Consider the following 25,524-nt stretch of genomic DNA (forward strand, 5'->3'; position numbering starts at 1 on the left):
TTATAAAGAAGCAAAACTAAAAACTTACAAGTGCCTGCTATTTATCCACATACTATATAGTCATAAATGGTGAGCTACGTACTTCACTAACACAAATTCCTCTATTCAGCAAATAGTCTTTGAGCACATATTATATGATGGGCACTCTAATAGGCCCTGTGGATATGCTGTAGATTTTCAACTAAAGTCAGGAAAACTAGTGAAGTGTGAAATCTTGTCAATCACCCAGGAAGTACAATATAAAATTTTTTTTTGTATAAAACACAATACAATAATTACTTTTCTTAATGAAGTTGAACTAGATCAAGGTAAAGAATATAATAATGAAATATATTCAAGCGCTTAACTATTTGAAACATTCAGACTTTAAGGGAACTATCACATCTCTAGCCACAGAAGTATAGGCAAAGCATTTTAAATATTCTTTCTTGCCCACAGCATATATTCTGTTTTATTTCATATTCGAATTTCAAGAATATTAATGCATGTTATTTTTTTTTTTTTGCTTTTGAAGTTTAAGCAATAGTATCTGATTTGGGAGAAGGGAAGTTAGAGACTAAAGTGAGAGGGATGAGTATGTTTATACTGGACTCCATCCTGAAGGCATTTTTTATTGCTAACAATAATAGTCAGCTGGGTAATGTTGAGGGTTTCAGCTGGGCTCAATTATGTGATTGCAATTAGCTGTGGGTTGGAAAGGCAATTTTGTTGATCTGCATTGCACGCTCTCACATGTTTGAGGTCAACTGGTCTAAGATGCACTCATTTGGAAAACCTGGGTGCTCTCATACTTCACAGGGTGACAATAGGGTTCCAACACAAACTAGGAAGAAAGTTCTCACGTCAACCAAGTGCTATTGGTCAAAGTGTCAGAAGGCCAGTGCTACATGAAAGTAAAAGGGAATTATCAAGTCAAAAGCAAATGATGTGAATACAGAAGCACCATTAGTAGACGTCATCAATGCAATCTGCCACACTGCTAAATGGGCAAGCACCATCAATCCTGTGTCATCGTGGGCACATGTATCAAGGTTTGCAAAAGTACTAAGGCAAAGGACCCTTTACATTTCCTTAGTGCAGAGAGAGTTCTTACTCCATTAAAAGAAGTGATTTTACTTTTCTTCTGAGTCATTGCATATTCCTTTCCTCTGCCCAGTTGAAGAGCTAGTTTGATCTGCTCTTTAAAAAATGCTTTCTTTTTTCTTCTTCTTCTGTTTTATACTATAAATCTCTTTGCCTAGAAGTTCCAGGCATAATTTCTGTGTAATAGAACAAGCCACAGTAAATACCCAGTCACACAGCCTACTAAAGCCATAAATCACAGGAAATAGCAAGTGTAAGAGATTAACATCGAAGCTGAAACCCAGTTTTCCTTGTACACTCCTCTGGAATTCTGTGATGACATACACTTTCTTGAAGGAACATCTTGTGGTACCCGTGACACAGTACGGTTAGGTTTAAGTATAAAACACATAGGCAATTAGGAGAAAAAATGTTTTTTGAAAATAGGACCACATCTTTTCACAGACCTTAATGGTTCATGTGAAAGCATTTGGAAATTTCCATACTCTTCAAGAAAGAGAATATTGATGGAACAAAGGAGAATAATTATAAGAATATGAAGATAAATTATCAAGTACTGGGATTAATTCTCCTAATGCTAGAGAAAATCACCTCAACCCAGTGAGAGGAAGAGACTGGATGATAACTGACACTATCATTTCATGGAAGATCCCACCAAGACTTTCTGAAAAACCAAGTGGGGAGGAAAAAAAAAAAAAAGCATGACCTTAGAGAGTTCCCACAGTACCCAACAAAGCTGTATCCTGTTTGACTCTCACTTTTCTGATCCTGGAGGTGAGTTTCACCTTGTGAAAATTCCTACCATGCCATTCTTGTACTGATAAATCATAAGACTTAACACTACATAACCTCGTTATTCACATACTTGCTTGGGATCAAAGCAAGATAAATATTTCTTGACACAACCACATAAACAGTAAGCAAACGAGTATTTCTTCCAACCTTTGAATGTCCAATTCCAAGGTTTGTTCTCTCCTGAATCCTGGTGGTACAACCTAAATATTTTGCCTGAATTTGGCATTGCAATTTCTATTGTCTTTTGTTTTCCCACAAATAGAATGTTTTCATGTAATTGTTATATTTCAGTAGGTAAATTATGTATTTAATATAGAGCTTAAAGTGTATGTATATAAAAATTATGCATAAAATATTCCACCTCATTTCTTAACTTAGATTTCTTCTCAGAAGCAGCAACTCTTAGTAGTTTTGCTCTTCTCTGAGAACAATTCTATGAAGATCCAATCAAATTGTTTGCATAAAAACCCCTTTTAGAAAAAATAAAATGTTATATATACAGAAATGCCCCTTGTTTTATTCACCTAAGATGATCTTGGAAATTATAATCATTACCTAGTAGAATGTCTCACTTATTTTAATAGCTAAATGATAATGCATTGTTTGAATACATCATAACTTATTTTATTAGGTTATTAGATTGTTATTGGGGTAAATTTAGGATAAAACAACAGTTTAAACTAGTAAAAGCCAAAGGTCATGACTAAGAGTTTCACTTGGGGCACAATTGAATTAGCACTTGCCACACCGTGACCAAGCACTGATCTTCTGAAGCTAGAAGGGAGTCCCTAATAAAATGCATGATTTATTTGATGCAAACCAAAACATACCTTTACAATTGGCCTTTTCAAGCACATTTTTACTTTCTCACCTAGTCATATTTTCTTATGCTTTTCACTGAAAGCCATCCCTGCTAATTTTCACCAATTGTCAGTATTCTTCTTGTTAAATTTCAATTGTCAAATTCCATTTCCTTCTGTAAGATTCCCACCATGACCCCCATAACCACAGAGGAGGAGGTGATTTTTTTCTCCATCAATTTCCTTTAGAGTCAGATTTGTAACATTGTGTCATTTTGAATTATGATTATGTAAGTATTTGTGCATGCCTCATCTCCTTTGCCAGATTGCAATCCCACTGAAGTCTGTGATATAGAAAACAAAGGGCTATCATTCACAGGACGGTCAGAGAGCCTTGCATATGTATTTGTGCATAATATGTGTTGCATAAATATATTCCTAACCTCTGAAGTGGGGTTAGTAACTTAATTCCACATTTTACCAGACCGAAATATTTGGACTATATTGATATGTTAATGCAGAATTTTAAGAATCTCAACAAATACAATAATTCGATGATTTATAAAAAGTATTTTGTATCTTCTTCAGTATTCTATAGTGTTTAATATACACATTTTTTTTTTTCTAGAAGAAGAGCTGCATAACAAGCGAGTCTGCCCATTTGGGTCACAACCTCTGTAGGTCAAAACAAATTTTTTCCAAACAGCCATGGTCAAGAACTAATGATTTTTAAAACACCATAAAAAACAAAGGGCTACTTATTATTAACTATTATAAAACATCAGTCAGATTTTTCTTTCCTCACTATTCTTGGAGCACAAAGAAGCAATAAATTTTAAAACAAACATGTTGAATTATTTAAAATTATACTTCTCAAATATGTTCTATACAAGGATAAAATTAATTTATTCTTATCTCCATTTTGGATTTGACCATGAATTCTTCTGAAAAAATAGCTGTAAGACCAAACTTTTTGGTAATTCTCTATAACAACACACCTAGGTTAGAACTGGCTACTACCTTCAATCCTATGTGTATTTATGTGTACCTTGCTTTAACTATTAGAAACAATAGGCACCTAGAACAATCGCGAAATGACAAAAATATGAGGTGTTCAATGAAGATATAGAGACTTGAAAACCTCTAGTAATGAATATAAAAAATCATTAGAGTAGAAGTATAATATAGCATCAGTATAGCAGAAGTAAATAATGTAATTCACAATGAAAACAAAATTATATTTCACCAAATATTGGCCACATACACCCTTCTGTAGTTTAAGTCTTTGTCTCTCTAGATATATGCCATCCAGTCTGTTCTTATAGTACTGGTATAACTCGGACAATTCAAAATATCCAAAATAATTAGGAATAGTTTACTCTTCCCAAACCTGAAATTGTAACTGTTGAGTGCATAATAATATATACTCGATGTATGCAAAGGAAACTTACCTTCTGTGTGCACGGCTGATACATAGGTCCAGTTGTACCTCTTCACTATGTCCACCATGGCCCTTGCCTGCTGAGCATCTGAAGGCACAACCCTCATGAAATATTTGAACAGAGTCTTGTCACTCAGATCCATGCTGGTTGCTGAGTAAGCAATCTGAGGTATGTTGAAAAGCTGGAGCAAATTCTGGACCTGAATGGCTACAGAACTGGAGCCAGGCCCAATGACCCCTACTATGGGCTTCTTGGAGCGGAAGGAAGAGGAGGAGCCATCCACACAGCGTACCAAGCCTTCTTCCTCTTCTGAAGAAATGAGGGAATCTCTTATGAACTCAATGCTCTGCTCTAGGGCCACAGCCGAATGCCAGCAGGAGTCCCTTATCTCACAGCCCAGTGTGATGTTGGGCAAGAGTGTGGGGTCTGAATTGATCCTTTCCAGGGTATGCAGCATGGCCTCCACTCTCTGAATGCCATACTGTTCACGGACCGCCCCACACTTCCTCTCATGAACTTTGTCCACAGTAGGCTGGTGATGAACAGAAAAGAGAGCTCCAATAATGATGTCACCCGGCATGTGAGCCACCACCCTCCTCTCACTGGACTGTGCACTCCCACGGACATCTTCTTTCAAAAGTAAGACTGACAGGATCAACAGAAGGACCATTTTAGGAAAGGAGTTCAAGCCAATAAAGATAGCATGGTGGGGAAAATTCAGGAGGGTTCTGATAGCTACGAACAAGCGATGTCCTACGTTGAGTCGCAAATCAAGAAATTAGCCAGCAATTCAGATGTATTTTCTAAAGGACCATTTTGTCCCCATGTACCATTTAGTTAGATGATCCATGTGGTCATGATCTTCTAAACCTGAAAAAAAAAAAATAACATGGGTCTTTAACAAACATAAATGCAACTAGTTTGGGGAAGTTCTATAATCCATGTTAGCAGAGAAAATATTTTGATGATGCAGATAACGAAGAAAAAAAATTCAAAAACGTTTCTGACTTTCCTTTGTCTGCTTCCTTTGTGATTTGATGAAGCAGCTGATGTAGCTTCTTGACCCTGCCTTGCTTAGATTAATAGTCTTTTTTTGTTCACCTGCAATACACAAAACTAAATCTTGAGTGTGGCAGGCAGAACTGTATTGTAATCTCAGGCAGAGATGACAGAGCATCCTAGAAGCAAAACTACGCCATGAACAGAAAACTTCAAGAAGTATGCACCCCAGAATATTAAACATTGGTGATCTCTTGGTAATGAAAGTGTGGATAACTGTTGTTAAATTTTCATTAGGCTTTCTTTTCTTTTGAAATCTTTAGCCTTGAGCATGTAATTAATTATGCAATTACAAAAATAAAATTATCTTTTCAAAAATACCTCACATATTCTCTCTCCAAATACAATGTCAAGCAAGTTGAATAATCTTCTCAGGAATAAATAAGTATTGTCTAATTAATGTGGAAGATATAATAAAAACAAATGAAGAAAGGTGGGTGTTTCATGTTAAATAAACTGTAGAAGAGAAAGGAAAAGGTTGGGGAATTATAGAGTACAACATCCCCCAAATAGGCTGCAAGGAAGAGTCAAATTAGCACCAATTTTTAGAGAAAAGAATATTCACATTTCAATCCCTGTTCTTATATTAAGAAGTATTAGTAAACTGTTTAACCTCTTGGTACCAGAATTTGCTCACCTGAAAAATGGGGATACTATGTGCTAGGCTGTCCCTTATGGGAATCAATACAAGATATCAACGAAATAAACGCTTTACAAGTTAAAAAGTGCTATATATATTCAAAACAACATCTTGTTGTTATTAAATTTTCAAGGGCATTTTGTGGCTAGGTCATGAAGACAGAAAATTCTCTGGCAACCTACTTGGTCCTCCAGAGAGTCTTCAAAGTAATTACACAGTCTTGCAATACATTTCACAGTAATCAGTCCTCTAGCCCTGATCCAGAAAAACATTCCACATCACTAAGGCTCAAAGGCTAAAAGGATGTATGTTTGGAACTATTCTGCCAGGTAGAAATTTAGTATAGCTATGAATGTCATCATCTATTTCAATTTAAATTCCTGGGAAGAAAGAAATTTTGTCCCAAATTTTCCATGGCAAATTCTAGCATAATTTGTAAAAGAGAATTGACAAATTAGTGATTTGATCACTTAGGGGAATTGTGTAAGAGACTTACTTTGTTATCAACTTTGCCAGCCAAGGATCTCAAATTATTTTAAAGTGACTAACTTTCTAAGCACCAACTTTCAAATACAGGTGATGTTTCTTCAGGAATGTATGTAAATATCGCACTTTTACAAGAATACTAATGGTTTCAAAGGTCATCAAATCTACAAAAAGTTAAGTCCAGACACAAAATGAATGTAACTTGAATCATGTTTCTAATCACTCCTACCATCATTTTCACTATTTCCTTCTACTGTTTCCTATGGCAACAGAGAAAGTCTTCCTATGTACAGTGACAAAAGCTAAACTTTTTAATATTTCATCAAATAACCAGATGTTCCAGAATAACTAGACATTTGGGAATATATAGAAAAAAATAGTTTTGGTACAAAAGTTGGCATTGTAGATACAGAGGAAGAAATGAAGACTGTTAGATTTTTCATTGGCAAGTCATTTGAATATTACCAAACCTTTCTTTCACTTTCCTTAGACCCAAGCTTAAAATAATTATTCTCATGGTCATGTGAATTCTGCTGCAGACAAAAAGAAATATCTAAAGTTAAAGAAAGCACAATTTCTTATTAAATCAGAATGTTAGCGAGTGAACAAATAACAAAACACGACTCATTTTTTATGTAAGAACATCAAAGTGATATGAGAGACCTGGTGTCCTGTCAGGCTCGTGTGGCTGAAATATCAATCCCATGCATTTTATTCATTTAAGTTGTTTTATGAAACCCCTACATATTGAGATACAGTATACATGTTAAAACACTAAGATATTGCCTTTTGAAGGTATGCGAAGTTTGTTACTTATTTAACAAAAAATTATTAACTATTCAGTGAAAGAGACTAGTGTAACAAAGAACTGTAATAATATACATTGGTAAGTATCATTATTATCTTTCATTGAGCACCTAACATGCCCCATCTATTCATTAACTCACTTAACAAATATTTATGGTATGTATATGCTATAATTCTGTCCTGGGAATTGAATATTCAAGTATGAGCAAAATATACAAGCTCCCTATACTTGTGGGCCTTACATATTTGTATTCTAAAGGGTAACTTTAGCTGAAACCTGGTGAATACAAAGAAAAATAAAGATCAAATGGTATTTCTGTCTTTAGGTCTTTGAGGAATCACCACGCTGACTTCCACAATGATTGAACTAATTTATACTCCCACTGCAGAAATTCTATTCAACCCTGCAATCCCATTACTGGCTATATACCCAAAGGAATATAAATCATTCCATTATAAAGACACATGCTCATTGCAACATTACTCACAATAGCAAAAACATAAAATCAACTTAAATGCCCATCAGTGATAGACTGGATAAAGAAAATGTGGTACATATACACCACGGAATACTATACAGCCATAAAAAATGAGATCATGTTTTCTGCATGGACATGGATGGAGCTGGAGGCCATTAACCTTAGCAAGTTAACACAGGGACAGAAAACCAAATACTGCAGGTTCTCACATGTAAATCAGAGGTGAATGATGAGAACACATGTATACATAGTGGGGAACAACATACTCTGGGGCCTGCTGGAGGGTGGGAGGAGACAGAGGATCAGGAAAGATAACCGGTGAATACTTGACTTCATACATGGGTGATGAAATAATACGTACAACAAATCCCCATGACACCAGTTTATGTAACAAACCTGCACATGTGCCCCTGAATTTTTAATTTTAAATACTTAAAATTAAAGTTAAAAAAAGAAAAGATAGTCCCAGCTACTCGGGAGGCTGAAGCAGGAGAATGGCGTGAACCCGAGAGGCAGGGCTTGCAGTGAGTGGAGATTGCGCCACTGCACTCCAGCCTGGGCGGCAGAGAGACTCCGTCTCACAAAAAAGAAAAAGAAAAATATACAGAAGAATGAAATAAAGGCAGTCACGTAAAAAATATGCCTACAACATGAAGAACATGGGAGGCATGATGATACAAGCTGAAGATGGAAAGGCAAGAAAGGTCCAGGCCATGCAGGATGTTGCAGGCTCTTATAAAAAAAATTTAATGTTGGCCAGGCGCGGTGGCTCACGCCTGTAATCCCAGCACTTTGGGAGGCCGAGGCGGGCAGTTCACTTGAGGTCAGGCTTTCAAGACCAGCCTGACCAACATGGTGAAACCCCGTCTCTACCAAAAAGAGAAAAATTAGCTGGATGTGGTGGTGCACGCCTGTAATCCCAGCTACTCAGGAGGCTGAGGCAGGAGAATCGCTTGAACCTGGGAGGAGGAGGATGCAGTGAACCAAGATTGTGCCACTGCACTCCAGCCTGGGTGAAAGAGTGATACTCCGTCTCAAGAAAAGATAATAATAATAATGTTAATTACAACAGAAAGCCATTGAGGAGATTTAAGCAAATGACTGGAACAATTCAATCTTAGAAAGGATTATTCTGGCTGCTCATTTTCCTGGATAATCAATTGAAGAAATCTTATAAAGAAACCTGTAATAATCTAGCAAGAAATGATGGTGACTTCTCTATGATTGGCGACAGTAGATATTGAGAAAAGTGGTCACAGTCAGATATATTTTCCAAGTTGAATCAACTGTATTTGCTGATAGACTAGATGTGAGTAGTAAGGTAGAGAGAGGAATCAGGGTCTACTCCTAGCTTCTAGTTTGACAGCCTAGTGCATTTTGACAGCATTAATACAGATAGGGTAGACTAGCACATAAACACGTGAGGGGCAGAAGAAAATTAATGATCTTCTTTTGCAAATGCAAAATTTGAGATGCCTTGGAGATATCCATGTAAAGATGTCAAACAGGAAAGTGAATATGTAAGGTTGGACTCAGGGGAGAGTTTTGGTTTAGACATGCAAATTGAGGGTCATCAATATATAAAATATTTAGAATGCATGAAATCGCCTGGAGAGGAAGTATAAATATTGCAAAGGTACAGCTAAAAAATAAGCTCTGCTGAGGGGCCAGATTTTGGAAAAGCCAGCTATGAAAAGGAGTCAACCCAAAAAGTAAGATAAAGTGAGAGTAAATGACGTCATAGAGGGCAAAAAAGAATGTTTTAGGTACTTTATTTTTAAAGACATATGCAAGACTTATATATTTCAGAGAAAAACGTATCCGATTCACATGGAAGATACTATATTCCATGTACATTCTATACACTGAAGATTTCTGACACATTGGCTATGTTTTTGAGTGTGTCTGTATGTGTGGCATATGTATACCAAGAATCCTTATAACAACTCTAAAATGTAGGTACAGGTTGAACAACCCCTACACAAAATGCTTAGGACCAAAATTCAGATACAGAATCTTTCAGATTTTGGAATAGTTACATTACACTTACTTACTGCTTGAGCGTTCCAAATCCTAAAATGTGAAATTGGAAATATTCCAATAAGAATTTCCTTTGAGTGTCACATGAGTACTCAAACATGCTGCAATTTTGGAGGATTTCAGATTTTTAATTTTTGAATTTGGGATGTTTGAACTGTATTATTTTATTACCTTCATTTTACAAATGATGTAATGGGTTTTGATAAGTTAAAAACTAGCTGATCACTTAGAAAATAATGGAGCTAGAATTTATGTCTATGCCTGTTGACTTTATAACACATTGTTTTAACTATTTCTTGCTGCCTCACAGCCCCTTCCTACCAAAAAAATGAAAGATACTACCAATGTCCATGAAAACAAGAAGGGCCACCCAGACACAATTTGAACATCCAAGAGATATAGAATCTTACAGGAGTTGCCTTTCAAACTATACATTAACGAGCATTCCAGGGAAAAGATGATTCAGCTCATAGAGACACAGAAGGTACAGTGTGTAGGTTATCTAGTACAAGTGTATTTACATTGCCTGAATATCCACCCCAAATTATAGCTCATCAGATTATGAAGCCTAATCTGATGAGGCAGATATTAGCTATGAACTTAGATACCTGGAATACACTTTTAAAAAAATCATGACATAGAAATGCGAAAGAACTGTGCCATTACTCAGATTATTATAAGGTTAAATAGAAAGTCATCTTACGTGCAATCAAAATACAAGAAATACATAGAGTATAAATTCCAAATAGACCTGAAAGGAATACATCAAATCTATCAGCATCACTCATGTGTTTTCTATAAATGTTTATTCAGTAGCACACCCTTCTATGCCCCAAGGATCCAGTTATGGACAAAATAGATATAAAGTCACATCATTATGGAGCCTGTATTCGAAGAGGGTTTGCGAGACAAGAAACAAAATAAATACGTAAAATATTGTGTGCTACATGGTGCTGAGTGTTTAAAAGCAAAAAAAAAAAAACAAAATGCAGTGAAGCAGTATAGAAAGTGCCAGAGATATAGGAAATTTTGAGTAATGTGGCCAAAGAAGCATAAACTGAAAAAATAACATTTGAGTAAATAGCTAAAAGAATTAAAGGAATGAGTCATGCAGATCTCTAGAGAAACAACATTCCAGGTAAAGGATAAAGCAAATACAAAGCCCCTAAGACAGACTTAATATTTAGTGTGCTGAGGAGTAGCAAACAGCCTCATGTGGCTGTAGAAAAGTTAAAATGCAGAGAAAGGAAGACATGGAGAACAAGAGGTAATGTGGTGATGTTGAACCTGTTTGGACTTTAAAAGACTTTGGCCTTAACATTTCATGAGAACGTTTTTCTGAGAGGATTCCAACAGCGGAGGAACACATTCTACCTAAAATTTTAACAAGAATAAGGGCACGAAGGCAGAAAATGAAGAGAAAATTAGGAAACTTGCACTAACTTAGGTGAGAGAGATGATAGTCGTTGGATTGGAGATACGGTAAGTACAAGTGGTGAGAACTGCTGGGATTCTGAATATATTTTGAAGGTAGAGTGAACAAATTGGCTATTAGAGCTGACGTAGGATGTTGGAGAAAGAGAAAAATCAATGAGGACGCCAAGATTTTCAGCCCGAACACAAAAAGGATAGAGTCGCATCGGCTGTGGTGGAGAATGCGGCGGCAAGGATGTGGATGGAAACAACAAAACAACATAAGTTCAATTTTGATATATCAAGTTGCACATACTAGAAACTCAAGAAGAGATCATTGAATGAGCAGGCAGATGTAGGGGGCTGAATTCTGAAGAGAGGTCTGAACAGGAGATAAAATGTGAAGGTGTGAGTATACAGAAGTCCTTTTTGTAAGCCATGAAACTGGATTAAATCACCGAGGAAGTGGAAAGAGAAAAGAATCTAGTGCCAGAGGTTGTGCCCCAGGGAATTCCAAGGTTCAATGGTAAGGAATAATCAGCAAAGGAGACTGAACGATTTTTTGAATAGAAACTTCCTTTTGTGAAGTGAGGAGAGAGAAGCAGTAAAATGTGAAGTATTCATGTTGTATCATGCAGAAATAAAGGGACGGTATGCTTTGATTTTCTCAAGAAATATTATGGGTGGGCATGTATGCATACATAAAGACTGGAAACATATACATTGACATTAATAGAGTGTTCTCTGGGTAGTAAAAATATAGTACTTTTAATTTTATTTTCTTCATCTGTGTTTTCTAAATTTATAAATATAGTAATACAACATATTTGCTAATCATTAGTATTTTTAATTTGGAACTGAGGGATATGCTTTCTAAATTTCTGCAACTTTCTCCCTTGAGACCTTATCTCCTTCCATCCATTCCTCCTTGGGAGCCTATTAGTCAAGTTAGGCTCTTGTCCAAGTATACACTGTTTTATTCCAATGGCTTTGCACATGCTGCTTCTGATCCCTGATATGCAGTTGTTCCAATTGTCTTCATAGCAGAGTTGTTAAGAGCATGGGCTTGGAGTCCAATGACCTGAATTGGAATCCTGGCACAGCCATTTATTGGCGGTGTGTCCTTAGGCATTTAGCCTCTCTGAGCCTCATGCCTTTATTGGCAATTGGAGTGACAGCAGTACCTACCCCAAAGAGTTTTAGTGAGTATTGAATAAGCTAATATTTAAAAATAGTCCCTTCCTAAATTATTACCATATCCCTCACCTGGCAGTGTTTGCTCTATCCTCCAAGCTCACATGGCAATTTATTTATACTTTCTTATAGTATTCATTACCAAGCTAATATTGTAGGATGTTTAAGGAAAATAGCATCACAAAACTAGAGAGGGCCCTGGAGATGATTCCATTTAACTGAGATCCATGGAAAGCAAATGATTCATAGCAGACCTGGGACTTGAATTCAACAAAATGTCACTCAAAACACAATTTTAATCATAGTTTACAACTTGGTATCAGCTCTTATATAATTTTCAAAGCTTATAATATTTTATTTTTTATTTAAATAAAATTTTAATATGAAATCTCTCTCATAATATATTTTTATTTTCTTTGTATAATATAAATATCTTTCATATAAGTTCATTTGGATGATGGGGACAATTATAACAACAATTAAAATATACAGAGGGCATATCATGTGTTGTTCACTTTGCTAAGTATCTCACATGAAATGACATTTAGTTGTCATACAAACTGTAAAATAAGTTATGTATGCACATTTTACAGAGAAAAGAACTGAGGCTCAGAGAGATACAGAGGCTTGGCCCAGATTCCCAAGCAAGTGGGTAGTACCAGAGCCAAGAGTCACATTTAGAACATTTATTTAATTTTATCAGTTGCATGGCATTCAATTATATGTGTGTACCAATATTTAATTATTCCTTATTGTTAGATATTAAGGTTATTTATAGATTTGTCTTAATATCATAAACAATGTTGCATTTTGCTTGCTTTTGAAAGTATCTTTGTAGCACAATTATTTAAAGATGATATTTCTGGCATAAATGTTTCTCCTGGTTTACAACTGATGAATGTAGAATATAAAAGATGATATCAACTTCACTCCAAGATCTGTCTCATTAACATCATCAATTCTGAGAACTATCCAATATTCTTTCTGTGAGGATCTACTCTCTCTTGCTTCTATATAAGTTCCTGAGTAAGGCCATTTCTCCTTGTGGTGAGATTTCTCCTGTGCAACGTCACCACAAGATTCATTCATTATTTTAACAAGTGTCTAGTAAAAGAAAAGATGAAGAAAAATACCACAATACTTTATTTTCAGCGTAAAGAGCCTTTTTTCATTCTTGATCTCACATCTACCTAAAAATAATACTTCTAGAAATGTCTAAGAACACCAATTTCTTATAGTAGGAAACAAATTCTCAAGTAAAATAAATTATTTTCTTTAGGTTATAGCTTTTAGATGGTGGGGATAATATGTCAGTAGAAATAAAGGGGCAGGTTTATCCTGTAGATAATGGGGAGGCATTAATTCTTGTAATGATAAAAAAGCTTTTAAAATGTTATGATCTACAGTCTAATAATATGGTGACATTTAATTCACTAAAAAGTGGGTAAATGTATTAATAGTTTGATTATATAGTATATTAGTTCAAGTACCTATTTTCAGAAGTATGCTTTACTCAGTGTTATATTTGTGGGTCCTTAGCAGAGTAAATTAATTACTAGCACATTATAGAAAACAATAGACATATTTTAAATACATACAAAAGTATTTCACATCAGGTAACCACACACTCTCATATTATATCCTAAATGATATGAAAAAGAGATATTGATGGATAAACTTTGCCATAAATTGCAATCTACACTATATAATCAGATTCACAGCTCACATTGTCCTTTATTTTCAACAATCTTCTAAAATACTGACCATCTTTCTGGCACAGATGTCTCTTATATAACTTAATCTCCACACAAGCAAATCACACAGCTCAGGACATAAACACTAAAATGATTTCTTCTGCCTGATCAGTGGCCTCATCACAAACAGTCAGGGCTGTCAATATTGCATATGCCATCAATGCATCTGATATATTTTTCTGAAAACAAGTGCATACCACAGATAAGAGACAGCCTGAGGTGCAATGATACAGAGAACCCTGTAGTCTGAGGAAAGCTCCATTGTCATTACTATCTCAATCACACATTTGTGACCCTGTAAACAAGAAAATGCAGCATCCCCACTGTTTAGCCCCACAAAATATAGGCCATATTTTAACTGAAACCCCCTCAACAAAAAAAGGGCCATAAAACACTATTGTACAAAGATGAAATCTGTAATTTTATCCATTAATTAAAAAGTTCTGGCAGTTCAATAGAGCTCACTAAATCATTGTAAATCATTTAAACAAGTGGTTTAGCAGTCTATGAAGACCTGGAACAGCCTTCTGCAGCAAAGCAATAAACATGATGCAATCCACTGTTAACTAGTCTCAGTTTAATTATAAAGCAGGGATTTTAGACTTTTACACATCCTGTAGCCTTCAGCTGATTTCTTGTTATTAAGGGTATACCTCTGAAGACTGTAAATCATTATTTATATATTACATTACATATCATTAAATGCTTGAGACCGTGGTTTTACATTTCTATAACATGATCTCCACTTACTTATTAATACATAATATTTATAAAGTGCCTTCTTTCTGTTAAATAATGTATAATAATTATTTAATGTAAGACTCACAATAACCCTGTAAGGTAGGTATAATTACTACCTATGTTACTACCTCTAGAAATCGAAGTTTAGAGGTCAAGAATCTTCTCCAAAGTATCAAACCTACAATAAATGGCAGAACCAGGACATGAATCCAACTATATTTGGCTCCAAAGCCCAAACTTAATAAACAAATAATGAGGTCTCCCCACAAAAAAAAACAAGTGAATTGGTTATTCAAACCTCATGCATTGATTGCAAAGCATTTTGGAGATTCTGCTTTCCATTAAATTCTTATGTAACGTACATAAATTCATCAGAAAGCATACAAACAAATCAAGTAAATATAGGAAACTCTGTTTCCTAGCATCATTTAGATAAGGGTTTCTCAACCTGAGCACTATTGACATTTTGGAGTGGATAATCTTTTGTTGTGGGCGGATGTTGTCTGTGCACTGTTGGTTGTTTAGCAGCACCCCTGGCTTCTGTTCACTAGACGACAATGCCATCCCCTCCCAGCTCTGATAAACAAATACGTCCTCAGATATTAGCAAATGTCGCCTGTATGTCAAAGTCACTTCCAGTTGAAAAACACTAATTTACATGAAAGTTAATCCTGGCAAGATCGACATAGTCATGAAAGAAGAGCATACCTAAGAGCCAATCATCTGGACCCATCAGTCTTAGAAATTCTCTACCTGAAACTTCCAAATAATGCTAAGGAGAGACGGTTGAAATAGGCTTGCCTTACTCAATGTTTATGCAGTTATTTGTCTGTATTATCTTGTTGAAAAGGTAGAAATTTCAATTTGAGAAAGACAAATTTAAGCTTTAAGAGTCAAGGTTGATATTACCTTACATTAAATATGCATAGTTCTAAGTATCACAAATTACAAGAAATGAATGTGAGGAGAGTATCCTACGATATACTTCCCGAATTCAAAGGCTGTTCTTGATAGGAAATGCAAAGTTTATTATAATTTTAACAAGACTGCAACAATAACGATAACTTTATAAATTAATTTACATGTTGATTTTTCATTTTATTTATTTTTAAACAAATGATATAATAGTGTATTATTTACTTCTATGTCTTTGAATAATTCTACATTACTATGCATTTAGACAAATTGTTTTTCAAAAAATATTTTTGATTATTCTTCTGTAAAATATAATGAATGTAAGAAGGTTGCATTATTAAAGTGCTCACTATTATCACTGTGATTACAAGTTTTCATTTTCCTCAGAACATTTATACTCAAAATTTTAAAACCCATGGCCTGAACCAGCATTATTGTGAACAACTAATCATTAGAGAATTTTTCTTGAATCTGATATATTTGCAAGACCAATAGAATAATATATACAGAAAATATATATTTTGCATCTAAGTCTTTCTTTTACACTTCTTCTACAGTCTGACTAAAAAAGGAGATATTTGAGATAGCAATTACGTATTATTTTGATTTCTGATTATCTTCAAGCATTTGCATGTTTATTTTAAAATATTCTTGAATATATGAGAAAAGTAGATATTTGCACATTCCTTTGCAGAGGAAGGGATGCTGACTCAAAATTAGTAGAATTCAAAAAAATTGATATATGTTTGTAAGCTGTAGGTCAGTATCATAAAAGTTTGGAAATCAGATGATCCTAGATTTAAATACCGGCTTTGTCACCTTTGTTTGTACTGTGGGACATTGGACAAGTTATTTAATCTATGTTAGTATTATGTTTTATCATTAAAGTCATAAAATAAAGATAAGACACAATCCATAGGGCAGTTGAACATTAAATGTAATAACATAGGAAACGCAGAAAACTCGACATCCAAAGGCCTGGGTAGGATTGATAGTTTGCACTCTGTTCACTATGGGTCAGATACTTTATTTTTTTAATTTATTTTTCTCTTTATGTCTTCTAAAAAAAATGGGATACATGTGCAGAATGTGCAGGTTTGTTACATATGTCTATGTGTGCCATGGTGGTTTTCCTTCTGCACCTATTGCTTTTTTTCTAACTTGTGCAATTTATTCATCATATTCACTCCATGCCATGTACTGCTATAACCCATCCCCCAATTTGAAAATAGTGAAACTAAGGTACATAAATTTAAGTAACTTGCCTAAGGTCACACAAGTAGTAAGCCACAAAGCTGAGATTCAAACCCAGGCAATTTGAAGCCAGAGCCTGTACTTCCAACATACTACAACTCACTGGAAACCACAGTAAAATAATCCCATAATGTTTATTGTTTAGCCACACCACAGAGTAAAGCAGCTCAAAACAAAGGAAACACGGTAAATTTTAGTGCCAAACAAATCAAATCTCTCTCTTTTGCGTATGTATGTATATATATTTCCATTATTTTTGCCTTTTACATATATGGTAAATGGTATATATATATATATATATACACACACACACACACACACATATATATGAATGAAATATATGTTTCCTTATTTTGAAAATGGGGGATGGGTTATGGCAGTACATGTTATTGAATAAGTATAATGAATTAATTGCACAAATAAAAATAAAGTGACCCACAGTGAACACTGCATAAACTATGCACTGTTCTTTGACAGTAGAATAAAAAACGTAGTTTTTATAACTGAAAAGGAAAAACAAATAATGCCTTGTATTGTTGATATGATAATTAAATAAAATAACATACCTACTGCTTAGCATGATGCCTGACGTGCTTAATAAATAGTAGTTATTAGAGCAGGGATGAGTCTGCACCAAGACTTTTGCCTGATGGCCCTTCTGACAAAAGTTATATATAGTTAAAAGATGATTCAGAAAGGTAAAATATAGATTTTCATCTCCTATGAATTTAAAGGAAATGAAAGCAAACCTATGCCTTAATGTTTTTTAGAAACACATTTTAAACAACTAAGATAAAGGAATATCAAGATACTATCTCATTTACAAATAATTGAAAATTCAAAACTAAAAATTGAAGTTTCTTTTCTTGGGTTATATAAATACATCATGCACTAAAAATATTTCTTTTGATGCTCATGTCTTCTTATGTTCTCCTAAGCTTCACTCACTGACTAAAATGACTAGAATTAATATTTCTCTGAATATGAATATAACACATAACACATATTTCTAAAGTGCAGAATCTTCCTGCTTTGTAATAATACATCTTCAATATATCCAACCTCTAAACCAGCCAAATCAGCTTTATCATATAACATATATGTATATCAACATATATAAAAAGTAGTATCTAATATTTTATAAAGTTGGTTTATACATGATCTATCTATCTATATCGAGATACACATAAAAGTACCTCACATGTACGTATACATAATACAATAAGAATGTGTAAGATAAAACATTTGTATATAGCTCTGTCTTCATCCCATGAGGATAGAAAACCTGGGATAAAATTGGTATACAAATAAATACAATATTTTTAATGATCAACCTCATCTCACATTTTCTACTTGTAGTACCACCTACATTTTATTGACACTTAATTTAGTTTCTCTAACCAAAATGATCATTCTGTAAAAGACAATATAGTAAGACTCCTATAAAATATTAAATGGGTTTTGGAAAGAAATAAGAAAAGTAGAATTATTAAAATGCTTTAGTCACAAAAGTGAGCACCTTTGATGAGGTAAGTCATTTTAACATGAAACACAACAATGTTAATAATCAGAGCCAAAATTAAAAATGGTATGTAGTTAATCAAGTATTCCCAAAGTCTGGATAGTTTTTGCTGGTTGGTTATAATAGATATGAGTGAATTTTTCAATTTCCCCCTGGGTGTTTGTCATCATGTCCATAAGGTATACTATAAAGTGATAGTAAAGGCCTGTGTCTACCTATGGAAGAAAAGTGAAAAACTTGGATTATTCAGATACCAACTCCCTCTCCCAAATCATCTCGACACATCCTTTCATAAGTGAACATTGAAGAGTTTGGGCTTTTTGTGAGTGTGTAGCCCGCAGCCAAAACATTCCCGTGTGATAGCACAAACCTCTAGGGGTGCAATTAAAATATCTAGATTGTATATTTTGTCATGTGGAGTGTAAATGACTAGAGAAAGCTTTTTCTCTTAAGAGAAGCTGTTATTTAGGAAGTGCTATGTACATTTTTCTCCTAAGAAACTTGAAAGATCTGTCCAGAGTGCTGACAAGATTTCACAGGGAGAAGGCTGGAAATTTGACGGGACGCACACTACTAACCCAATGAGTTCAGGACGCAGTATTTTCAAGTCCTAAACCAATGGCATGTTTAAATGGAAATAAACATGCATAAAGGACAGAAATAGCCACAATTGATTCTTACATGTGTAATTACATTGAGGTAACTGAGAAATTAAAGGAGGAAACTCCCTGCACTCCATAAAGAAAACAGCATAAAGCACACCTAACAAGAGGTAGCATACCTGAACACTCCACAGCTGACAGTAGAATGTCATGCAACTAAGACTTCCACAGAAAACCCCTGCTTATGTCCCACTGGAGGAAGGGCTGCACGTAGTCCTGGTCAATGCACCTTTGGCTGCTTCAAATGGCCAGTGCCCAGGATTAGAGACACAAATTAGCTCTAGCTTTGTCCTGAGAAACTCTGAACAATAAAATCCCATGTAGCGAATGGAGAAGAAGGTGAAAAGGAGAAGCTGCCTTCTCACTGGTCTGTATCAATTTCTTATTGAAAAAGTAAAGTATTGGAGACCCTATCTTGGTTACTCGATGTTAACAGTCCAGCTAAGGCAGCATCAAGATTGTGTCTAAATAAGCACAAGCGCTTGTTATCCTCTCCTAAATTTCCCTTCCACACAGCAACTCCTCTGAAAGGAAATGAGGGCAGCTGTAAATTCGAGTACCAGGTGAAAGAGCCCTCCAGGTGGACCTGTCACTTCCCTGGAGAGGTCCTAATGCACGTTGGGCTCGGGCCACCGGCTAGCCTCCGCACTCACGGGCCTGCCCTGGGTTTTCTTCCCTAAGTCGCTGTAGCCTGGGCTTCCTCCTTGGCATGCCGCTCATGCCCCCGCCGTGGGATAACTAGCAGGCTTTGTGTTCGAGGGGAAAGATAAATCCATGGAAGAGGAAAGAGCGGGAGGGCTCAGGCTGGTGTTCAAAGAGAGGCAATATAGCCTGAGTGAAAGAGATGTGCTTTCAGCACCACCCGCTGTCCCCCCTCTTCCTGCAGCAGGCGCCACGAAGCGGCCCCTAACAGATCTATTGAAAAGCAATTCTCTGTCCTCTTTTCCTCTCCACCTTTGCTTCTCACAATTCCGAGCCCTCGGGTGGTTTGTGGGAGCACACTCTGCATTCGAAACCACGCGCACCTGGCCTTAGAGAGCGGGAACTCGGATGCGAAGGCATGCAGAATCTCCTTTTCAACCCTTGCAGCTCTTCCCTCCTTCACCCCATTGCTCGCGCCTTTTTCCCCAACAGGTTTAATTAAGGCTGTTCGCAAATGGAACAGACTTGAATCTTGTCGGCTTTGGCCACCCCTGCTCCACCCGCGTCCCCCTCCCCCAAACCACACTATGAGCTACTCAGCAAGCCTATAGATCCTAAATCCTTCTCTGGCCAGGGGACACTTGGGCACACAGACACTTAGCAAGCTTACCCCCCTGTTGGCTGCGCTGCGAGCAGTGAGACTCGGTCTAGCTAGCCCCCCGAAAAGTTGGGCCACGGGGATCAGCAGGGCAGAGCCGGCCTCTCCAGTCCCCGGCTTCCCCCCCAAGATGATCTCAAGCTCATTCCCTCCGCTCAGCGTGCGCAGAACAGCCGAGCTGAGGGCGGCGTGTGCAGCAATCTCCCCGCTACTGAGAAAGGGGGGATGGGGGGAAGGGGAGAGAGCGGAGGAGGGAGGGGTGGTAGTTTGTATTTATAGAGAACAGAGTTCTTTGCGCAACTTTTTGGTGCCACCAAGTGGCACAGTGAGTTCCTTTAGGAACATAGACTCCTGGGTGAATCTGGATGGGTAGACCAGCTCTGTCAACAGATGCTCACATGGCAAGGGAGCTGGAGGCACTCCCAGGACTTACTTTTCACATGTTTACCGTCATATCTCAGCACCTGGGATACAAATCCCTAAATTCTAAGAATAAACCTGTATTGAGTGAGAAAGGGCACCTGTGCCTTCCTCAGACAGGTGGAAGGAGTGTCAAGGACATGGTAGGTCCCAGTTGTCTCCTAGGAGTGTAGACATCCTTGTCTCAGGGGGAATATCCATTATCTTCTTCTTCCTAACCCCTCTGCCTAGATTACATTGCATTTATGTTTTACTCTAAAACCTTCTTCTTGCTGCCCTGACTACCTAATCTTTAAACTGGATTGGCACTTATTTTCCTTGCCACCAAACCTTCTTCCTCAATGCTAACCTTAAAAATAGCATATGACTTGTTCACAACGTGCAGGTTTGTACCCTAGAACTTAAAGTATAATAAAAATAAATAAATAATAAAACACTAAAAAAATAGCATATGACTTTAGGCTCTGTGGATCTGAACATTTCTAAACAGCTCTCAGAACTCCAAGTTCACTGAGCTACAGGCTGGAGGTTGGATTTTCCTCACTCATTTCCACAGACCTCTCAGCATGCATTATCCCAACAGCACAGTCAGGATCTTGCCAACTGCCTTTAGTACTTTGAGGAAGAATCCCCTGAAGCTTCCTTTATCCATATTTTATGAGTGTTCTTACTTCTTAGTATGCAGATCTTCAAACACATACATAGACACTACTGCATGGGACCTTCATGTCCCCAAATGCAGAAGATCCTCTACATTGTTCAATAGAGAAACTGAGTACATGAAGGTTAAGGGGCTTGTTCAAGGTCATGTTTCTCTAGAGATCTGTCCAGGAACTACCTAGGGTAGAACTGAATGAACGCAGTGATGCCAAACCCGATCACCCTGTTCTTGTTCCTTCTACTACCCCACTCAGCCTATTCAGGCATATTCAGCTCCCTTCTCTTCCCTGTATTCATTTTTCATATTCTCTCTCTCTCTCTCTCTCTCTCTCTCTCTCTCTGTGTGTGTGTGTGTGTGTGTGTGTGTGAGAGAGAGAGAGAGAGAGAGAGAGGGAGAGAGAGATATTATTTTTGCCAAAGTTCCATAAAGGAACCAAGAGTAAACATGTCTTCCAAGCTCCACTGGGAGTATATGAACTTGAGTTTATAGGTCCAGAGCTGCAGGTGTACCATCTTTACATGACCCACAGTTCCAGAAAACCTCTCCCTCCTAGTACTGTAGTCCTTTTAGAAACGGAAACTGACATTTACACCCAGTCGGGTCCCTTCTTTGCTGCCTCTTTTTGGGGTGAAGCACCAGCAACTGCCATTAGCTCCCTCAAACACCTAATGGGCTCAAAGATAGAGGAGCCCATCTCTCTTCCTAAATCCTTGCCTTTCGTGCACATGTATTGGCATCACACACACACACACACACACACACAGACAGAGGGAGAGAGAGAGAGACAGACACACAGAGAGAGAGATCCAAACGTATCCTTTGGCTCGGATCTTTATCTTTTCCTCCTCTGTTTTTTTTTTTTAGTTCGTTTTCTATGGAAACAAGCCCACTTAAATCCCTCACTTATGCAAATAAAAGCAAAATGATCTTCATAAACCTCCCATTGGAGCGATACCGCGGTAGCCCAGGCTCCTGACTTAAATTTATGTCTGATTCACACAGCACACGTCCTTGCAGGGTGACTTTTCTAAACTTGCAGGACCTCGTAGCGTTCCTGGCTCTACCAGCCCTCCACCTGCCCACCACTTGCCCTCCTGGGTCTTTTTAGCCCCAGCTCCCGCCCCTTGCTTGATTGCTCTCCATCCCTGCACTGGGGGAGGGGCTCCAGCGGTATCCTATATCCGTGGTAACTATAGCCAAGAGAAAGAAAAAGGCGCTGTGCTTACCAGGTGCGCGCCCTGAGCCTTGCGCCCCCAGGCAGCCGCTCCTCGAGGGCTTCCTGCGCTCTCGTAGCGGCCTTGGCTGCAGCTGGAGCGCTAGTGTCGGCGATGGAGGCAGCGGTGACAGCAGGCAGAACGGCTGCGGGGCCCGCGGCGGTGGCGCTCGCTCTCTCGCGCCAGCGCCGGGAGCACGTGCCGCGCTCGGGCAGACGCAGCTGGAAGCGCAGCGCAGGGCTGGCTTATACTCCCGCAGCGCGCGGCGGGGGTTGGCAGAACGGCCAGGGCATAGACTCAGTGGGTGAATAAGGGTCTTAAAGCCTCGTCGTTTCGGGGTTCAGGCGAGGGTAGCCTTGGTCTCTCTCTCCTGCTCCTCACGTTCCCTCTGGGAGCCATGGGAGGAGGAAAGCTGTGCGGAGGAGGCGTGGGTGGTGTGTCACTCAGAGAGAAGCTGGGGGAGCAGGTAGATAATAAGGTTCTTTTTGACTATGGCACTGAAACCCCTGACAATGATTGGGAGAAGGGGCGTCACTGCTGGAGGGTACAGAAAGCTAGGAAGTCAGGGAAGCCCGAGATGATTCAGAGGTGTGACTGGTTAGAAAGAACGGCCTCTAATGATGTTACTTATTAATAATACCATTTTGCATTTTCTGCACTTCTTACAAACGATTCTTCCTACATCCGTTAAAATTTATTCTTCGTTGGCAGTTGAATGTCTTTACTTTCTCAAATGACTTTGCTTCCCTTCCTTCACCACCCCCATAACTGCCCAGGATTGTCAGCTATGCTGAGGTTATCTTTAAGTACAAAAGCAGACTTCATTTCTGCCTCTGAAAAGGCGATTGGTATAAATTACTTGCATAGCTTAATTTAAAGAAAAGAAAGACATTGCAGTAATATGATTATTATTCCCATTGTATTTCCCTAGCTGAATTTTGGGAACCAGGTGCTTGCAGCAGCTGGGTCAAAGATTAAAAGATGAGTGCACTACAGACAAGGGGATTGATGCTGGTGCATTCATTACTAATGCTCATTAGATTTTCCACTAGACCCTTGTCAATAAGGTAAGTTTTTGTTTGATAGCTTCAGGATTTAACAACAAGAAAAAGAGATGTATCTACCACACCTTGTTGGGTTTTACAATGGCATCTTTCTTCTTGCATTTTCACGTCTACTGATGGGATCATTGTTACTTTTTGTATTTCTTTGACTGCAATTCACAAAACAAGTTTTAGTACTTTGGAGAGAGGCCAGGAAAGCTGTGAGTGAGCTTCCTTAATTAAAAAAGAAAGAAAGAAAGATGGCATAGATGAGAAAATAGAAAGATGGCATAGGTGAGAAAATACATAAAATAGTGAGTTCGCAAGAAAATGGAGGGTGACATGACTAGATGACTCTGGTGATGTGATTAAGTCTGATGAATACAGTGATTTGTTTATCCAATTTTCTGAAGCGTTAACAATAAAGATAAGGTCAAATTTGGGTTTTTGTATGAGACATTTAGCTTTGAGTGAGCATAGGGCACTCCAAGCTCCCAGTTTTTCTCCAACAGTTGGAGCTGGATCAAAATACATTAGTGAATGGGAAAGGAGGAGATATCATGTTGGCCACTCAGTCACTTAAACTTTTCAATTTCCTACACAAATTTCCTTCTCTCCTGTCTTCCAGTGTGATGATGAGAGTGGGATGACATAAGACATGTCAAAGCATGTCAAAAAAAATGACAAAGCACTCCACAAATGTAATACCTACTTACCAATAAATATTGACTTCCTATGCTCTAAAGGCTAAAATGTGAAGGACATTCTCCATGTTGAACAATAGTAAAATTTTCAGATGAGAAGGAAAATGTGATTATATAATCTTAAAATTGCTCAGTGACATTTTAAAATATAGCTTCATCTCACAATTGTAAAGTGCTGAATTAGGCAAAATTAAAATTAAAAGGAATATAGAAACAATGTTTTACATTCCAATAGTAAGTTCTGATTATAAATTGCTCAAGGGTATAAATTTTGCCTTAGGATGATCTATTAATGAACAAAATATTTTAATTCTTATGTAGAACAGTAGAAAAAAAGAATGGAAAACACGGTCATTCTCAGAATTGATCAAGCTTAAAACTCGAAATCTCCATTTATTTCTGTCCTTTCTTATATGTGAGAATTTGTCATGAAATCCTGTTAGCTCTGCCTTTAAAATATATCCTAGAATCTTACCACTTCTAACCACCTTCAAAGAGAACCTGTTGAATCCATCAACTATCATCTTTTACCTGCCTTACAGGAATAAATTCCAAACTAGTACAGGCTACATTCAGCACAGCATCCAGAGTGATCTTTTAAAGAATTTATCTTAAATCGAATCTCTCCAGTAACTTCTGATTTCACTGAGTAAAAGCCTAAGTCCTCTCAATAAATATTTAGAATATTTAAATGAATATTTATGAAAATAGAGGTATACCTGTTATATGCTGCCCTTCATTGTACAAGTTGGCAACACTGATGGTAAATCATGTGAATGTTTGCAGGAGGTCTGAAAGACTACTGAGTGACAGCACCTTTTCCGAATATGGGCACACTTACCCACTTCTTAAATTGTGTTTTTGCATTTGTGATTCTCAGACTTAGCTAGCTCATGTTCTAGACTTCAAGGGGGTTATACAAATTCTAAATGTTTTGCAAGTATGTGGTTATCTGAGCTTATTAAATAAAAGGTTATAAGTGGCTTAAAAATTTTTGAATGTTTTTATCAATTTAATGAACACTCATTAAACATTTATTATTGCTATTATTTTTTGCCAGTTACTGTACAAAACACTATAATAGAATGATACACAA

The 25,524-nt window shown here is 37.2% G+C and overlaps 1 protein-coding gene across 4 annotated transcripts in view; it reads right to left on the minus strand.

The window, feature by feature from the left end:
• GRM5 (glutamate metabotropic receptor 5) overlaps positions 1 to 22,900 on the minus strand; it is a 561,341-nt gene extending 538,441 nt beyond the window's left edge. For 2 of the 4 annotated variants that reach the window (NM_001384268.1, NM_001143831.3), the window contains exons 1-2: positions 22,694 to 22,900; positions 4,130 to 4,990 (exon numbers count right to left, since the gene is read on the minus strand). In NM_001384268.1, coding sequence (NP_001371197.1) covers positions 4,130 to 4,790 — 661 coding nt within the window. In that variant the 5' untranslated portion in view covers positions 4,791 to 4,990; positions 22,694 to 22,900. Of the gene's footprint in view, positions 1 to 4,129; positions 4,991 to 20,398; positions 20,578 to 22,693 lie in introns of those variants that run through there. The other 2 variants (NM_000842.5, XM_011542792.2) reach the window with 1 other exon arrangement.

This window comes from Homo sapiens, chromosome 11 (genome assembly GCF_000001405.40).
Source record: "Homo sapiens chromosome 11, GRCh38.p14 Primary Assembly".
In the NCBI taxonomy this organism is placed as follows: domain Eukaryota; kingdom Metazoa; phylum Chordata; class Mammalia; order Primates; family Hominidae; genus Homo; species Homo sapiens.